Source organism: Homo sapiens, chromosome 18 (genome assembly GCF_000001405.40).
Source record: "Homo sapiens chromosome 18, GRCh38.p14 Primary Assembly".
Lineage (NCBI taxonomy): Eukaryota > Metazoa > Chordata > Mammalia > Primates > Hominidae > Homo > Homo sapiens.
In genome coordinates this window covers 58,586,143-58,606,181 of record NC_000018.10, presented here as the reverse complement: position 1 = coordinate 58,606,181, position 20,039 = coordinate 58,586,143, and the positions used below count along the sequence as shown (strand labels likewise).

Here is a 20,039-nt window from a genome sequence, read left to right as displayed (position 1 = left end):
GCTTGAGCCCAGGAGTTTGAGGCTGTAGTGAGCTATGATTGCACCACTGCACTCCAGCTTGGGTGACAGAGTGAAATCCTGTCACAAAAATAAGTAAATATGTAAATAAATAATAAACATCAGACATCATTTTACCAAGGTTGAAATGCTTATCTGACTTACAGCATATCTAGCCTAACATTTGAGATACCCATTACTCATCTATTCTTTAATTCTTTAGATAATATTCTTCAGGCACCTACATATGCCAAGCATTTTGCTTAACGCTAGAGATGGAGGTAAATAACACAAACATTGTCCACACCCTTACAAAATGTCAACTCTGGTATGGATGATCAGTGGTGAACAAAGAAAGCCATTCTTCCCCTTACCACTCCAGTATACTTGGGAGACAGCCGGATTGGCATTTGCTGGCCCTTGACCATGACCTGGACTTTCCTACTTCTTCATTCCAACCTTGTCGAGGTCTCCCCTTCCTCGTCTTTATCCCATTCAGCTTAGAAACCAGCTGTAAGGTTCACAGGTGAGATTCTAGTTACCCATGGGTTTGTCTAGCCTCAAACATTCTCTTCTCCTTTGATCTTGTTGCACAGGCCTCCCTTTTGGTGGTTATTCATTGCTCAGGATTGATGACAAGTTCAGTAGACTGTGGGCCTCACAGGGGGAAGTAGCCCTCTCTGATTCACACAAACATCCCCTAGAGCCTGGCACAGTGCCTACAACATAAATATTTGTTGAAAGGATGGATGGAGACATCTATCTATCTATATCTCTCCCTTCTCTATCTATTGTTTTTGTGGTTGGTTTATCTAGATCAATGTTAGCAAACATTTTTCTAAAAGGGGCCAGATAGTAAGTATTTTAGCCTTTGCAGGCCAGATGCAAAAATAGGCCACAATTATTCAGGTCTGTCATAGATAATATGCTTTAAAAAAAATAGCATAGTTGTGTACCAATAAAACTTTATTTACAAAAACAGGCGAGGGACCAGATTTGGCCTGCGGGCTATAGTTTGCCTACCCTGGTAAGATCCTTGAGGATCTACACACTGAACTTCTTTGTATGTTTCCCACCCTTGCTTATTTTCCTCTGAGCAATCAACACATATTTCCTGATTAATTTTAGTCTCACAGTAAACCAAAATATTATGCCCACATTTTAGCCAGAAGAGAAGCTTGACATGTGTTAAGAATTGAGATTTGCTATTACTGTTTTATGTTCCATATACAGGATGAGGGTATAAATGAATGGAGGAATAAGAAGCCCATGAGGAAGCCCCAGAGACAGGTGGGCAAGTCAAAGCAGAAGGTATACAAAGCAGAAGGAGAAACTTGGGGAGGGAACTTGCCCTGTGGAAGGTTCAGGGAGTCACCATTCCCTGTTCTGAGATCCAGCAGGGCAGTGGCTTTCCATGAAAATTGAAGATTTGACACAACAGAATCCACTCATTCCAAGCTCCTGGGCTGCCATTTTGAAAAATAGCCCGTCTACTAGGAAAAGTATTCCGTCGTAATGCAAGAAATGTTGGTAGAGCCCTGTAATAGATGTGGTCACGTTTTGCTGCTTAGCAGTAAGTATGCTGGGCACTAATGATCGTGGGAAGTTCTGACTTTTTATACCGGTAGTTCTGAATTCTAGCTGCCCGTTAGTATCACCTGGGGAGACTTTAAAACCCACTGATGCTTGGGCTTCGCGCTTGACCAATTAAATCGGAATCCCAGGTGATTCCAGTGTTTTGCCGAAACTGAGACACGCTCTACGTCCTAAGCATTCATCTGCAAAGGGATTTGACTTATACCAATATGTTAAATGCTGGTGAGGAAAATGAACGGTATTTTGTGCAAATGCCTTTCAAAGATTAAAAGTTAGCTGTTAGTTATAATATTAGTCTCAAAATTTCCTGCTATATACCGTCAACCCCTGGATTAGCTCATAGCCCAAAGAAAAGTACTTTTCTTCACCTGCATTTGATCTTTGGATCATTAAATCTGAGTTTTTAGATATTCGAAAGCTCCTGTTTCTGTGTTTCCCAAGGGCTTTTTTGGTTTAACAAATCTAATCTGCAGTTCTGCTTGGAGGCTAAGAGCCCTGCGATTTATGAATCTTTTGATTTTCTCTCTTTCCTCTATCTTCCCTGCATCCTGCATTCTCCTCCTCATGCTGTCCTCATCTCATGAACCTGGGCACTTCAGGCAAGTGAGACGGCGGGGAAGAGATTTATCATTGCTGTTGTAACCTTTACATTAACACGGGTCAAGTGTGCTTGGCAGGGAAGAGAAATGGAAAGCCAAGAAGGCATTCCCAGGGAAAGAAACATCAATAATCACATTATGGTATGCACTGTAGCTTGAAATAGAATTTTTTTTTTTTCCAAAAGATGTAGGAGTTGGGGAGTGGGGAGGAAAATGCAAATAGACGTTTTCTACCTCATAATAAAGCAAATTGCAACGATGTGTATACAAACGGGGAATTGTGGTCTCTTATGAACATAATGTAAAGAAAGGCAGCAAAGCAACAGATAAAAATCTGTCCAGGAACCCGCACTTAGATATACCCCCTCCTCAGCAGGGAGGCCTCCTTTGATGGTTGCAATCACATGGCTGTGCTGAGAGCCAGCAGGAGGGAGGTGGAAGGAAGGGGAAGGGGGCGGAGGAAGCACCAGGAGCAGCAAAGCTCCGCTCCTGCCTGGGCTAAAGCGGGACAAAGCAGCATCTCTGCTCTCTCATCAACTCTGCCCTGGCATCGGCTAGGCTGGGGACAGGTCCATAGAGCACCGGGCAGGGACAATGACCAGGAGAACGGCACAGTCACCACAAGCCAATCAGCTCATGGAGTGTATACAGGGTTGAATAGTGTCCCCCAAATCCATGTCTGCCTGGAGCCTCAGAATGCGACCTTATTTAGAAATAGGATTTCTGCAGGTATAATTAGTGAAGGAGTTCATATTGGATTAGGTTGTTGGATTATTACGGAAAAGGGGTTCCAATCCAGACCCCAAGAGAGGGTTCTTGAACCTCACACAAGAAAGAATTTGGAGCAAGTTTATTAAGAAAGTAAAAGAATGGCAGAGCAGCGGTATAGGCTGCTCGCCTGAGTATACTTATTTATTGATTATATGCTAAACAAGAATTGGATAATTTATGTGTTTTCTGGGAAAAGGGCAGAGATTTCCTGGAACTGAGGGTGCCTCCTATTTTTAGATTATATAGGGTAACTTCTAAATGTTGCCATGGCATTGGTAAACTGTCATGGTGCTGGTGGGAGTGTCTTTTGGCATCTAACACATTATAATTAGCATATGAGCCATGTGGACGACCAGAGGTCACTTTCATTGCCATCTTGGTTTTCGTGGGCTTCGGCTACTTCTTCACTGCATCCTGATCTATCAGCAGGGTCTTCGTGACCTGTATCTTATGCCGACCTCCTGTCTCATCCTGTGACTAAGAATGCCTAACCTCCTGGGAATGCAGCCCAGTAGGTCTCAGCCTTAGTTTACCCAGACCCTATTCAAGATGGAGTCATTCTGGTTCAAACACCTCTGACAGGGTGGGTCCTAATTCAATGACTGGTATACTTTTAAAAAGGGAAAACAGAGCCACAGAGACACACACAGAGAAAAAATGGCGGTGGGAAGACAGAGACAGAGATTGGGGTGATGCAATGGCAAGCCGAGACATGCCAAAAATTGCCAGCAGCCACCAAAGGCTAGGAAGGGGCAAGAGAAGAGTCTTCCCTGGAACCTTTGAGGGACCATGGCTTGACGACAACTTGATTTTAGACATTTTGGACACATGAACTGTGAAAGAATAAATTTCTGTTGCTTTTTGCCACCCAGTTTGCGGTAGTTTGTTACACAGCCCTAGGAAGCTAATACATGGGGTAGCCAAGCAATCCCATAAAAAGAGGCAGGGCTTTTTGCCTACCTGGACATAAGCACTGGCCAGGTTTATCTGAGAATGCAGTGTTGGTTCCAGACACACCAGCTGAGTTCATCCAGACTACCCAGTGGGAGATGTCTAGGGACAAAGGGGCAAAAACATTTTTTTCAACTCTGCCCCAAATTCACGATTGATTATTCAAGGATTTGAAGGGGAAATCAATAAGGTTTCCTGGGTCACTTGTGTTTTTCCCCCAGGGGACATTTGGTAATGTCTGGAAACATTTGGATTGTCCTGACAGGAGGGGGTGGGGTGCTACTGCATCTGGCGGGAGGAGGCCAAACCTGCTGTTGAACATTGGACAGTACACAGGTCAATCCCCACAGTCAGAATTCTCCGATCTAAGATGTCTGGAGCACCAAGGTTGAGCAACTTTAGCAAACTATCACAAAACTGGTGTGCTCTCGTAGAGCAGCAGTTTCTTAGTTATCATGGGTCTGTGGGCTGGCGGGCTGGTTCTCTGCTGGTTTTCCCTGGCTTTTTCATGCTCATTCATGCCACTCAAGTCCATTTACGGATTGGCTGGGCTGGAAGGTCCAGTGTGGTTTCCCTGACAGGCCCGGCAGTGGATATTGCTGTTGGCTAGCCCGCCTTGCTCTCCTCCACATGGGCTCTCATCCCCCAGGAGGACAGTACTGGTTTCCTTACAGGGCAGTCTAAGGGCAGCATTCCAAGGTCACGGAGCTGCAGGGCCTCATGAGTTCCACCCAATATCATTTCTCTCACATTCTCTTGGCCAAAGCAAGTCACAGGCCAACCCACATTTAAGAAAAATAGACTCTACTTTTGAAGAGTGGCAAAGTCACATTGCAACAAGGTGTGCGTACTCACATGAGTGGAATTTGTAGCCAGATTTTGTAATCTGTATCTTCTATCTGTGGGAAATTTAATTGATCTTTTAAATCATCTATTTGCATGTATCTTTATCCTTCTCAAAAAGCCACCTATGACTGCCCCTTGCCTATAATTTTTTTATCCTTTTTTTTTTGAGATGGAGTCTTGCACTGTTGCCCAGGCTGGAGTGCAGTGGCAAGATCTGGGCTCACTGCAACCTCCACCTCCCAGGTTCAAGCAATTTTCCTGCCTCAGCCTTCCAAGTAGCTGGGGTTACAGGCACATGCCACCACGCCTGGCTAATTTTTGTATTTTTAGTAGAGATGGGGTTTCACCATGTTGGCCAGGCTGGTCTCGAACTCCTGACCTCAGGTGATCTGCCCACCTCGGCCTCCCAAAGTGCTGGGATTACAGGCATGAGCTGCCACTCTTGGCCTGTTCTTAACCATTCATTTATCCAACAAACATTAAGAGCACTTAATATGCTCTAGAATCCAGTGCCAAGTAAGAGGAAGCAAAGTTCTCTATGATCCCACTCACAGTCCAGTGGGATCAGTCCAGTGGGACACAGTCCAGTGTCCAGGAAACAGACACTGAAATTTCAGAAACGGGTATTGAACCAGAGAGTGCTCACCCAGACACAAGGTTTTAAGCTGCTTTTGTTACACGTTTCATGCTTGCAACCCTGTTTGGATAGTTTTTCATTTTCTTTTCCACTAGAACTCTAACATGCTATTAACTGTTGCACCTCACAGAGTGGATTGTTTTTAGAATGTGGACTCTGTGACTTCAGTAATGTGTCGGCATTCTCATTTATTTCTCATGTCCAGGCAGACAGACAGACCCTAGGAGCCGTGGGGTACAGTGTTACCTTCCTCAAGATACTCTGGTTTGAGAGCTCTTTGTAAGTGCTTGTCACCTGTGCCCTGGGGAGGGCCATCAGCCTCTTTCTATACATAATCACCCAAGGAAACCTAAACCGTTTGCCAGACATCTGAAAAACATGAGTTGTTGTTCATGAATGAAACTGGGCAAATGAGTATAGGTGAATCACTTAAAGACACCCCCACTGGGGCCGGATGCGGTGACTCACGCCTGTAATCCCAGCACTTTGGGAGGCCAAGGCAGGCAGATCTCTTGAGGTCAGGAGTTCAAGACCAGCCTGGACAACATGGTGAAACCCTGTCTGTACTAAAAATACAAAAATTAGCTAAGCATGGTGGCGTGAGCCTGTAATCCCAGCTACTCGGGAGGCTGAGGCATGAGAATCACTTGAACCCGGGAGGCGGAGGTTGCAGTGAGCAGAGATCATGCCACTGCACTCCAGCCTGGGCAACAGAGCGAGACTCTGTCTCAAAAAAAAAAAAAAAAAAAAAAAAAAAGATATCCCCATTGCTGGAAGAAACACCTCAGAACACACAACCTGCTAATAGAATTGTCACCATCAACTTCGCTTACAAAGAACAGACAATCTTTTCCACTATTGACAGCCAGCGTCCAAAGATCTGGGTTTAAATCCCAGATCTATAAGCTGTATCATCCTGGGCAAATTATTTAACTTTTCTATGTCTCAGTTTTCTCATCTGTAAAAATGGGGATAATAATAGTACCTGCCTAATAGGGTTGTTGTGGGGATTAAATCAACACATGCAAAGAATTTTGAATACTCAATACATAATAGCTATTTCAGGTGCTTTAAACATGCTCCCCACCCCAAACTATAATTTTGGAACTGATTAAAATAGGAGAGTTTGGAGGTAAGAAAGGCAGCATTTTTCCCCTCTGCTATTTCTCTTTTGGAGGGTAAAAAAAATGTGGTTAACGTGATTGTTCAAGAAATCATCAGGTAGAAATAAAGATGACTGAATCTTGCTATGTCTTGGCTAAGATGGAAATGCATTTCATCCAAGGTTGGAAAGCATTTTGTGAACTTCATGTTCCTGTGAGCTTAAGTAGGTCTAACAAATCTTAAGGATGACTGGTAGAACTTTCCGACACCTGGAAGGTGTCTGTGTTCCTGACACAGGGCTGAGGCAGGTTCCCGTGGCATTCTCCCTGAATGAATTCAGCAGGCACGCATCAGGGCCATGACTCAGACCATGCCTGGAGCCCTGCTTGAATGAGTTCCGAGGGTCTGACAAGGAACTCCCGGTTAGTCCTCGGGTGATAGGTCCCTTCTGAGAATCCACTGCTTGTCATCACATTCTGGTGGTGACTTTAGTAGGTAAGTGTCTCAGAAGAGTGAATGGTTATAGGCCAGGTTCTGGGACACTCACTCACCTTTTCCTGGGGACGGGACTTGGGTGGCTGCTCCCACCATGGTGCAGACTCCTCAGGGCAAATCATGCTAGTCAGGTGACAGGTGACAGGTTGATCCAAGAGCCCCTCCCAAGACTTTGGGACAGTCAGGGAAAGGTGCACCAATCACTAGAAGTTGGACACGTTCTGAAAGTACTGTCACTGAAAACTGTCACTGTCACGTTCTGAAACTGTCACTCCATTGACACCTTCTGAGAACTGAGCAGACCAGGCACATTAGGGAAGTTCTTGGAGTCAGCCCTACCTTGTAATCACAGAATTAGAGGCAGACACATCTGGAAAGATTGAAAAGATGGGGTGTATTGCTCATGTAGAAATCGTGATGTGTTAGTGCTGGGGAACAGTTGACCAACTCCCTCTAAGGTAAAGCTCATAAAGAAATTACCTGACAAGGGGAGATGGCTAGTTATGGACAGAGCTGAAACTAATCAGGCCCTGTGAGTCCCGGGAAGGGCTTTGCCCCGACGATGTAGCGAGAGGGCAGGACTGAGAAAGGGGTTCAGTTTGGCAGCGTAAGTCTCTGTCCTGACCAGCCCAGCCTATTTCTCCTCCTCATGCACTCAGCTGAGGGCCTCTCATGACAGCCCCAAGGCCTCCCTGCCTCTGCCAGGTCCTGCCTGGGAGCCTCTCCTGCCCCTGCCTCCTGAGTTCTCCATGAACCACTGTGTGACTTGGACCTCACGCCCCTCCCCGTCTGCCTCCAGGCTCCATCACCTGGAATTCCTGCTTTGTCTTCTCCCAAGCACATGCTCCCATTCACTTTTTCTGAATCCCACAATGCTGAGCCAGTCTCAGTACATTCCATGAGACACCAGGCTACACCTCAGTGGAGTCCCCCTCATATGGGAGAGGAGCTGCCGCTCTGGATCCTCCAGGACTCCCTTCAGGCCACACCCCACACCTGGGCCTCAGGTGAACCTGAGAATGGGTGAGAATGGGCGTGGTCCGTGAGAGGGGTTAAGCCCTGGGATGGTCCCTCAGACCCTGCCTGTCATAGTCAGCTTGAGCTACCCTACCAAAATACCATAGTGTGGGTGGCCTAAACAACAGAAGTTTCTTTCTCACCGTCCTGGAGGCTGGAGGTCCAAGATTGAGGTGCCAGCATGGTTAGGTTCTGGTAAGGGCCCTCTTCCTGGTTTGCAGAAGCTGCCTTCTCACTATGTTCTCACATGGGACAGAGAGAAAGAGAGAGAGTGCAAGCTCTCTGGTATCTCTTCTAAGGGCACTAATCCTGTCATGAGGGCCCCACCCTTGTGACCTCATCTAAACCATATCACCTCCCAGAGGCCCTGCCTCCAAATACCATCACATTGTGGGTTAGGGCTTCAACATATGACTTGGTGGGGGACATAATTCAGTAGCTAGCACAGCTCCAAATATGGAAGTGTTCTGGCTATATACAGGGCCAGACTAAGATGAGCCAGTGGGGGTGGACAGGGACCCACTGGTTCAGAATCAGAAATCTGCAGCACTCTGTGAGAGTGTAAGTAGACACACTAAGTATCATAAGTAGATACTCAGCTCTCAAGCCAGACTACCCAGGTCCAATTCTTGGCCTCATCTCTTACTTGGGCAGGTTGCTTAACCTCTGTCTGCCACGATTTCCGTATCTGTAAAATGGGAATGATTACAGTATCTACTTTGCAGGGTTGGGTGAAGATTAAATGAGATAATACACATAAGGAAACTTTTTGAACAGTGCTGGTACTCAACAAATGCTAAGTAAATGCTCATTCTTTCTGCCCTGAGATCTCCTGTGTATTGTTAGACACAGCCATTCTTTGTTTTTGTTTTTTCTTTCGAGTTGGAGTCTCACTCTGTCACCCAGGCTGGAATGCAGTGGCACAATCTCAGCTCACTGCAACCTCCACCTCCCAGGTTCAAGCAATTCTCCTGCCTCAGCCTCCTGAGTAGCTGGGATTACAGGTCCCCACCACCACACCTGACTAAATTTTTTTGTATTTTAGTAGAGACGGGGTTTCACCATGTTGCCCAGGCTGGTCTCAAACTCTTGACCTCAAGTGATCCACCTGCCTCGGCCTCTCAAAGTGCTGGGATTACAGGCATGAGCCACTGCACCGGGCCAATTTTGTTTTTTTTTAATTAGCTTGGGGTGGTGGCACACACCTGAGGCCCCAGCTTCTTGGGAGGCTGAGGTAGGAGAACTGGTTGGGCCTGGGGGGTTGAGGCTGCAGTGAGCCATGATCATACCACTGCACTCCAGTCTGGGTAACAAAATGAGACCCTGTCTCAAAAGCAAACAAACAAACAAAAGATTTGTGGGAGGAATTAACACAACGCATCCAGGGGTTCTGTTCTTCACTGAGTCTTGCCTCAAGGGCAGCAGGCAAAAGAGCCATTCCACATACAGCCATCTGAACTGGGGGAAATGATTTGAATGAACTGTGGCTTGTTGGTGGTCAGAGGCTCTGTTGCTGAATCCTTAGGGGACTGGGTGAGCAGAATAATCTAACAGGCCTCCCACAGCTGCTGTAGGAGAAGGCCCTGTTGTCAGTAGCTCTGGTCACCATTTGAACTGCAGGGTGTCAGTGACTGCTCCCTTTCTGTCCTTGTCACTTCCCATTCCCTGCGGCGGCTGCTGCAGCAGCCAGATGGAGATTCTTCTCCTGTTGGAGCTGCTCCTTGACAGCCCTAATGAGGCTGCTCCCTTGGCCCTGTGCAGGGTGCCCTGCTTGCCCGTCTGCCTGCTAGTGGCTGCCTCGGCTCACCAGTGGGCACCAGGAGGTGGCAGCCAGGCAGAGGCATCATGAGATGGTCAGATCAAGGAGATAGAGAGGGACACAGGACACAGCCAGCACCGAGGCCCTGACAACAGAACGGCAGACGAAGGGAAGCCACTGACTTGTGACGGGCTTCTTCCCTGACTACAGGTCTCTGAGCCTGCTTTTGGGAGAGAAATTCTCAGACCTGGTTTTGCTCATTCCCCCTTTCTGGGTCCAGCAATTCATTTTTTAAGAAGGAAAACCAACTCTTAACAGCCACACAGTGCATGCGGGGGCAGCTTGCCAGTCATTGAGTAGGGAACTCAGATCAAATTGAGCAGCTAGTGGAGTGACAGCTGATGTTTTCCTGAGAATTTAATAAGGGGACCTTTACCCTTGATGGAAACGTTGGAGTCACCAAGCTGGAAGTGACTTCAAGATGTTGCCGCTCAGAGCCTGGTCTTGGACCACCAGCATCAGCATCCCCTGGGAGCTTGTTAGAATGGCAAAATCCCAGCTCCCTCTCCAGACCAGCCAATCAGAACCTGCATTTTAATGACATCCCAAGTGATTCGTGTGCATTTTTAACACAGGAGAAACCCTGCTGTAAGGCTTAGGCTTAGCCCACTCCTGGCTATACATTACCTCTGGGGAACTTTAAAAAAGTATTGATGCTTATATCCCACCCCTAAAAAATTCTGTTTTAATTGGTCAAATCCAACTGGTCTAGTCCACTGCCTACACCCTATAGGTCACCCAAGGCCCAGAGAGATCACAGGACCCATCCAAAGTAACACAATGGGTTAGGAACAAAGCTAGGGTTAGAACCCCAAAATTCTGTTTCCCAGGGCCCCGGAGTCCATTATGTTAATCACTGCATCTCATCCTACCAGTGCCATCCTCCCAAACAAAATCTATTAAGATGTATCCTGGAATATAATTCAAAAAGGAGTGATCATAAGGACTTCATTCAAAAATAAGGATTCATGGAGGGCCTACTATATGCCGGGGACTGTTCTAGACCCTAAGGTTACAGCAGCAAATACTGGAGTCCCTGATCTCATGGGAAAGGGATCGCAAGAGGAGCCAGACATTTAACACACCAGGAACTATGTAATGGGTCAGGTGAAAAAAGATAAAGCAGCACGAGGGAGGGAAGGCGCATGACGGTGGGAAGGTCTCTCTGGTGAGGGGCTCTGAGCACAGGGGTGAAAGTACAGAGCGGGAGGTGATGTGGTTATTACCTGGGGAAGGCAGGTTCTCTTCACCTTCTGTGACTCCCACGTCAGCTCATTGCTTGTAGGCCATGGCACATGGTCATGACTTTGGATTTGATTTGGAGTGAGATGGAGACACATAAGAGGGTTTCTGAACAGAGATGTGATGACATTTTCTGGCTAAGTGTAAAAGGATGACTCTTATCTCAGTGATGTGAATGTATCCTCTGGAGAAGACTCAGGGCACAGATGGGGACTGCAAGCAACCATCGCGGTAATTCAGATGAGACGGTGGTGCCTCCACCCAGGACGGTCCTGCAGAAGGTGGGAGGAAGCGGCCAGGTTCTGAGTGTGTCTGACAGGAGCTGCTGTTGGACTGGATGCTGGACGTGAAAGGGGAGTGAAAGACGGACTCCAGGATTTTTGCACTGAGCAATTGGTAGAATGGAATTGCAGTTTTGTGGAGACAAGAAGCAGGTTTGGATAAGGACATCCACAGTTTGGCTTGGGGCGTGCTGGGTGTTTGATGAATTAGCAGAGCTCTGGGCCTCTGTGGCTAGGGACATTTGTGCTGCTGAGAGCTGGGGCTGCCGGCCATGGCTTGTCTGATGGAGCATTCATCTTAGTCCTGCTCCCAAGATGATGGGCCTTTCAGAGAATAGATTTACAGTTTAAACTTAAGATTGTTTTGGTATATTGTCACAATGCTCCTTAAGATTTCTGGGACATTATGCTCGCTTGGTGACCTATTAGGTGCTGGGGGTGGAAATTGTTTCTGGATAACTTTGAGTTTTCTTTTAATAAGAAGGGTCAGTCATCTATTAACTAAGCGTGGTGGTAGTAATGCCATAGGATTTTTTTCCTTTCTGAAATCAGTTTGCCCACTTCTTGTTCAAAGAATCTCTGGTGGGTCTGCGTTGCTCCCAGAGGCTCAGAAAGCTGTCAAAAGGGCAGAGCTTCTGCGCCAAGTGGAAGCCAGGAAACCGCTCCCCATGCATCCCCAGGAAAAGATCCTGGCTCTACCATGAACATGCCTGTTCCCTGACGTGTTCGCTATTGTACAAGAGTCCATGTCCATTTATTTAGTTCAGTGCTTCTGAGTGCTGGCTGCCCAAAGGAATAGCCTAGAAACCTTAAAAAAAAAACTGATGGTGAAGGTTTCACCCCATTATGCTGCTTAATTGTGCTTTTTTTTTTTTTTTTGGTTGGGGGAAGAGGTGGGCCCTGGCACTGGTATTTTTTTCCTTTTATTATTTTTATTTATTTATTTTTGAGATGGAGTTTTTGCTCTGTTGCCCAGGCTGGAGTGCAATGGTGCGATCTCGGCTCACTGCAACCTCTGCCTCCCAGGTTCAAACAATTCTCATGCCTCAGCCTCCCAAGTAGCTGGGATTACAGGCATGCACCACCACGCCTGGCTAATTTTTGTATTTTTAGTAGAGATGAGGTTTCACCATGTTGGCCAGGCTGGTGTTAAACTCTTGACCTCAGGTGATCCACCCGCCTTGGCCTCCCAAAGTGCTGGGATTACAGGTGTGAGCCACTGCACCCGGTCTTTTTTGCCTTTTTTTTTTTTTTTTTTTTTTTGAGACAGAGTCCCTTCCTGTCACCCAGGCTGGAGTACAATGGGGAAATCTCAGCTCATTGCAACCTCCACCTCCCAGGTTCAAGCGATTCTTCTGCCTCAGCCACCCAAGTAGCTGGGATTACAGGCGCATGCCACAACGCTCTGCTAATTTTTGTATTTTTAGTAGAGATGGGGTTTCACCATGTTGGCCAGGCTGGTCTTGAACTCCTGACCTCATGATCCACCTGCCTTGGCCTCCCAAAGTGCTGGGACTACAGGCGTGAGCCCCTGCACCCAGCCCCTTTTTTTCTTTTTAAATAGACTTTAATTTTAGAGCAGTTTTGGGGTCACAGCAAAATTGAGCATAAGACACAGATAGTTCCCACATACCCTCTGTCCGGCATGGTACATTTGTTACAATCCATGAATCCACACTGACATATCATCACCCCAAGTCCATAGTTTACATGAGGGTTCACTCTTGGTGTCCGTTCTACAGGTTTGGACAAAGGTGTCCTGACATGTATCTACCTCTGCAGAATCAGCAGTAGTCTCCCCGCCCTAAAATCCTCCGGCCCTGGTATTTTTACGAAGCGCTCCAAGTCACTTGAACGTTCAGCCAGGGCTGAGAACTATTGATTTAGTCTTACTGTGTGCCAGGCTTTGCTTTCAGCACTTTATAGGAGTTAATCCCTTAATCCTCATGTCACCGGGTTGATGGAGGTTCAGCTATTGTCCAGAGCTGTCAAGTGGCTTCTCCAACGCTGCGGAGCAGATGGGCCGGCATGTGAACCCAGGCACATTCGCTGCTAAGTCTGTCCCTTAACCACTATGCAGTACTGACTTTGCCAACTGCCTCTGCAATCGGCTTCGAATTGTCCTCGGGTGAAGAAGAAAAGTAAACTTTCCCCTGCAGTTCACACACACATAGTGCCCCTGGACAGAATTCCGCACCCTCCACACCGGAGCTCCTCCCCACCCACTGCCCCAGTTCTTCAGGGCCCTCTCCCCCAGCCCTACCTCCTGCGAATCCCACATCAGCTCATTGCTTTATTGTCCCTTACACATGACCTGATCATTCCAGCTCCGGTGCATCTGCCAGGAATGCCCTCCCCTCTTTCCACCCAGCCAAAATGTAATTCTTCCCTGCGGGGCTCGAGTTCTGTGCTCCTGGCTTCATTTCCTGAAGGCCCAGGCCCCTGTGACCTCTCCTGTCCTAACCACCAGAAGTGCTGGCTGCCTTGGCTGTGCCTTTTGGAATTCAATGACACTGGATTTTGCAAATTGTGTACTGCTCCCTGTTTAATACCCAAAAGTCTCATCCCTGGGGAAGGAACCATGTCTTCTACTAATTTCTTGTTTCCCTTCTCAAGTCCCATGCAGTGTGCTAAGCATGTATAGTTGCAGGTCCAGCAGGACACATGGGAGAACGGGGTGTTCCTGCTCATTGGGGGCCACAGGTCACATCAGATATGGAGAGCAAGAACATTTGCTCCTCATCCCCGGTCTGTGGTATGAAATGCAGTTAGCGTCTTACAGAATTATTTTCCATCCCTTCCTACATGACTATTTTATTTGCTTCCCAGTGAACTGGAACCTGAGGTCTAAACCCCTTAGTATGGGATGGAAAACCTTCCACGATCTGGGCTCAGCCACCTCTTGGCAGGTGACCATATCTCCTGATCCACCTGGGCCAGCCTCACTTTCCCTAGCATGGCCCCAGTCTCTGCCTGTTGCTTTGGTGTATTAAGAGAGTCCCTTTTCATTCTCTGAAGTGTCCTGTTTAAACAGTGAACAACGCAGTTACTCTACCTTCCCACCTACCACTTCCCCAAGTTCCAAATTAAAAATGGCTTATTGTTTCCTGGGAGGGCCTGAAGCTTTCCTGCCTCCTTCCACATTTAGGCTATTCCTTCTGCCTAGAATGATCACCCCTCCACCAACCACAGGCACACACCATCTTTCCTGCCAAAATCCTACCCTGTATTTCCTGGTCTGCTTCAGCTGTTGAGCTCCCCAGGAAACCTCCCTTCATTATCTTGCATGCCCCCAACACCTGAATCCTTATAACTGGCACGCTTGTTAATGGTGCCTGGCACACACTGTCCTGTATTATAGCTGTTTGTATAGACAAGTCATTTCCCTTACTGGATGGGAGGCTCCTGAGAAAAGAGCCTAGGAATTTCACATCTTTATCATCCACATAGTGGCTAACACAATGCTTTATACATGGTAGACATTTCCTACCATTTTTTTGGCCGTATAACTTAAGACGTGTCACATCTTCTCTGGGCCTCAGTTCCAACATCTGTAAGATAGTTCCAATTCCTGTATCTGTTAGGGTCTAATCAGGAAGACAAAAACCATTTTGAAGCATTTAGTGCAGGGTTGCACAGATGATTGAGCCAACAGGGAACAGTGAGGTCACTCAGAGCCACTATCTCCTGGGCAGCAGAGACAAAGGGAGGAGTCAAGACTCCCAGTTCCAGGTCACAGGCCACAGAGCAGAAACTGGACCTCTGGTAGGCTGTCCCATGGGACCTGGAACTATGAAAGAGATGGTTTCTTCCTTCTTCCCTTCCCAGCCCCCAATCTACTGTCTCTCTTTGGTCAAACACAGCAAGAAGCCAGCAGTCATGGGAGCCGGGTGTTGCAGCCTCAGGGGTCAGCCCTGGTGATAGAGAGCAGAACCGGGGAAGAAGGCAGGTGGGTGAGAACCGGCCTGGGAGAGACACAGCTCTGAGGTCCGTTTCGGCTCTTTAGGTGTGTGGTTCAATCAATCTGTTGAATAAATAACTGAATAAATTGGTAAATGTATGAGGAATCTCCTCATTGTTTTGAAAGGTATCAAGTTACTTATAGAAAATATGATCAAGAAATTCAGAGAATTCTTCCATCTCCAGGACAAACATAGTTTTGGGGCTTGGGAAAGACCAAAGTCTTTCCTATTCCTTCAGTTATAAAAATGATTATTGATAGCAGTTGTTAGGCAGCTAATAAAATACAGACACTTGGCTTAAGAAAATAATGATGACTTTCACCTGGTGCTATGGCCAAGGAAAGGACACGGATGTCATCATGTGATTATTTATTGAGTGGAGCCCTCTTCCCCCTCCCTGCTGCAATGGGAGGGAAGGCTCAAAACATTCGCAGCCACTGGAGGGGGAGCTTCAGAGGCCTCCCTCCCCCTGCATTCCTGGCTGAAGGGGTGAAGACACTACAGACCTCGTGTTTCCAGATCTTGTTTTCTTTCACTGGAAAGTGGAATGCATAATAAAATGGAATGCCTGTGGTGCAAGATAGTGGTTGTATAGTATCTAAATTCCAGAGATAATTCCAAATCTTTTTTTTTTTTTTTTTTTTTTAGATGGAGCCTCGCTCTGTCGCCCAGGTTGGAGTGCAGTGGTGCAATCTCAGCTCACTGCAATCTCCGCCCCTGGGTTCAAGCGACTCTCCTGCCTCAGCCTCCCAAGTAGCTGGGATTACAGGCACGTGCCACCACACCTGGCTAATTTTTGTATTTTTTTTAGTAAAGACGAGGTTTCAACATGTTGCCTAGGCTGGTCTCAAACTCCTGACCTCAAGTGATCCACCTGCCTCAGCCTCCCAAAGTGCTGGGATTACAGGCATGAGCCAATGCACCTGGCTGAGAATTCCAAATCTTACCTCTAGCCAATACTTCAGCTTCTTCTTCTATGAACCCTGTCTTCAGGGCACCTGGTCGAGTTGCAGTTTGAGTTTCAGCAATTTTAATATTGTTGGGAGCAGGGAAGTGACCTCAGGGCAGGCAATAAAGGATTATCCATTTTTCAGGCCACACAAGATTACTGATTTTATTTTTATTTTTGCTGGTGGAATCACCCACCTTAGTGGTCAATAGGTAGATGTATGAAATAATGCATGTGACCCTTAGGGTAGGATGAGCATGAGAATAAGGATGAAGAAGATGATGATGATTGAAATGTAGGGACTGAAGAGTATATCATTTTGATGGGTATATTGTGCTGGTAGCTAGAAAAAAATAAATCGTTCGTTTATGTCTTCCTTTTCTACTTGTTTCATCCTGTTCCCCAAACTCGTGTCTTCATATTCCTCTTTGATAGGGTTACTAGTCCTGTGGATTCTTGTCCTGCTTAGTTCTTACTCATATTTTTAACCCTTGTTCCCAAAGCACAAAATCATGCTAAGTTGGCTGAATCCTGAAGAACTTTTAGGATTAGCCCTTCCAGAATTGATGGAACCGGCCTCCTCCTGCCCAAAACTAAATTACATAGGCCCATGTATTAAGCATTGAATCAGAATCTCTGGAAATGGAGCCCAGACATAGGTCTTCTTTCCCCTTTGCAAATAAGAAAAACCACAGAAATTATATCATCAGCCTAAGAGGATACACAAGTGAACAAACCAAGCAAAGCAGTGACCCCCTCCATGCTAATGCCCATCTTCCAGGGTGCAACAGCCAGCTGTTCTGCTGTGACAGTGTATCCAGGCTTCCCTTGGTGAATAGCTTAAATCAATGATTCTCAAAGTGTGTTCCTTGGACTTCTGGAAGTCCCTAACACCTTTTTAGGGATCCTCAGGGTCAAAACTGTTATCCTAAAAATATTCAAACATACCCAGCAATCCCATTACCAGATATAAACCCAAAGGAATATAAATCATTCTATTACAAAGATATATGCACGCATATGTTCATTGCAGCACCATTCACAATAGCAAAGACATGGAATCAACCCAAATGCCCATCAACAATAGACTGGATAAAGTAAATGTGGTACATATACACCACGGAATACTACACAGCCATAAAAAGGAACAAGATCATGTCCTCTGCAGGGACATGGATGGAGCTGGAAGCCATTATCCTCAGCAAACTAATACAGGAACAGAAAACCAAAAACCACATGTTCTCACTTAGAAGTGGGAGCTAAAAAAATGAGAATACATGGACACAGGGAGGGGAACAACACACACTGGGGCCTGTCGGTGGACAGGGTTTGAGGGGGAGCAGTGTAAGGGGTAGAACATTAGGAAAAATAGCTAATGCATGCTGGGCTTAATATCTAAGTGATGGGTTAATAGGTGCAGAAAACCACCATGGCACACGTTACCTATGTAAGAAACCTGCACATCCTGCACATGTACCCCAGAAGTTAAAATAAAAATTAAAAAAAAATTCAAACATTATTTGCCCTTTTCACTGTGTTGACGTGTACACTCATGATAAAAAGTAATGAAGGGTAAGTCTGTTGGTGGCTTAGCATGAATCATGGCAGTGGTCCCGAACCGTATTAGTTGCCATAGAATTCTGCATTTCCATACAGCCACAGTTAAAAACAACAAACAAAAAGTTTTACTTAATAATGCCCTTGATGCATCAGTAAAAATGGGGTAATTTTATTAAATCTTGATAACTCAGTAGCCCTGTTAATACCCCATGTAATAAAATGGGAAATATACACACAGCACCTCTGCTGGATTTCCTCAGATGGTGAACATCTTGAGGACAAGCTTTTGCATGATTAAGTTGCAAGCTGAACTAGCCACTGTTTTTATGGATTATCATTTTTACTCAAAAGAATAACAGACAAATGATGGTTATTCAGCCTTGGGTATTTGGCAGACATTTTCTGAAAAATGAACAAAACAAGCCTGCCACTTCAAGGAAAACTAAAAGTATTTGTTGCCAGTGATAAAATCCAAACTTTCAAGCTATCATTGCAGTCCCTTCTCTGAACTAGGGACTTCCAGTTTTTTCCAATATTCCTTCTGTTTTTTTCTCTATCTTCTCTCCTATGGGGACTCTCATTATATATATATTGTAAGCTGGTATACCATCAGGCTCCAGAACTCTTTAATTTTCTACATTCTTTTCTCTTTGTGTTCCTAAAATTGGATAATCTCAATTGACCAACTTCAAGTTCACTGATTCTTATTCCATCTGCCCAAATCTGCTGTAGAGCCCTTTTGTGAATTTTTTATTTCAGTTACTGTAATTTTAAATCTCTAAATTTCTATTTGGTTTGTATGTATAATTTCTATGTCTTTATTGAAACACCATTCTCATACTTTTTTTCAGCTCTTTAGACATGGTTTTCTTTAGTTCTTTCAGCATATTTAAAATAGATAAAGTTTGTGTTTAGCAAGTCTAGGGACAGTTTCTATTGATTGCTTTTTCTGTGTATGGGCAATACTTTATGTTTCTTTGCATGTCACATAATTTTTGTTGAAAACTGGACATTTTAAACAATGTAACGTGGCAACTCTGGAAATGAGATTCTCCCACATTCCCAGGGCTTATTGTTGTTGTTTGCTTGCTTAGTGACTTTTCTGAACTAATTCTTTGTTGTCTGTGACCCCTGAAGTTTCTACTGAGTTAGCTTAGTGGTCAGCTAATGACTGGACAGAGATTTCCTTAGATGCCTGGAACCAATGGGTCTCCCAGTTTATTGAGGGGCTGTGTGTGCATGTTGAGGTATGAAGCATGCTTTCACACTCAGCCAGGCAATTGACAACTCTGCCTTAGCCTTCACTTCCTGCTAGTAGAGAGCCTTAAGGTCAGTTAGAGCTGCGAGCTCAGAATTTTCTCAGGTCTTTCGTAAGCACATGCACTGGACATGCTTAGGAAGGCTGCTCACAGCCTTATGCATGTGCATGGCCTCCTAGATCCCCAGGAGAATGTCTCAGCTTTTCAATGACCCCATGGGCATCTCATTCCCAGCTTTCCCTTTTAAGCTTTTTGGTTACCCTATTGTTTAACCCAATTGTAATCTACTGCCTCAAGCAGCCATGGTGTTAAACAATTGTCTGTATAATTTTTTTTTTTTTTTACAAATGCCCCTAGGGAAAAAGATATTTTTGCTGGGTGAACTCTAAGTCAGATCACACAAAAACAGTCTTGTGAGTGGGGTCTTCCAGGGAATTACTAGGCAGGTCAAATAATGACAACTCTCTGGGTATGGGGCTTTGAAGGAGCCCCAACTGGGTCCTGCCCCCTCCAGCTGCTGCCAGGCTACTGGTTTTCACTGTGGTTGTGGAGTCTTGGTTTTCAAGACTACTGTGGAGCTGGTTATGGGGGAATAGAACTAGGGCAGGTTAAAGCACCAGAAAACTGTTCTTACTGAGATTCAGCCATTTTTCTCGAATAAAGGCTCCCCAGATTGCCTTTAATTTTCAGAGCCCTGAAAAAGTTGATTCAGACAAGTTTTGCCAGTGTTCTTGTTGCATTTACAGAGGTGAGAATTTTCAGGGATCCTTCCTCTGAACTTCTAGCTCATATCCTCCATGCTTCTACTTTCTACCATACAACTTAGCACAGATTTGATTTACACTGTTCTCTGATAAATTAACATTCATATTATTTCCCTAAGTAGAATTTTGGAAAGCTTGTGCCCTTCATCAAAAGCTTAACAGTTTATAATATTTAAAAATTATTCTGATA

General features: G+C 45.6%; 1 protein-coding gene and 1 non-coding gene across 2 annotated transcripts in view; one reads left to right on the top strand and one right to left on the bottom strand.

Annotated features, from left to right (window-relative positions):
- The window catches only part of ALPK2 (alpha kinase 2), a 147,845-nt gene that overhangs the window by 22,910 nt on the left and 104,896 nt on the right, over nucleotides 1-20,039 (top strand). The window lies entirely within an intron of this gene.
- On the bottom strand, nucleotides 5,430-5,562 carry SNORA108 (small nucleolar RNA, H/ACA box 108). The gene has a single exon (NR_132963.1). It is a non-coding gene; the product is annotated as a small nucleolar RNA, H/ACA box 108 (small nucleolar RNA).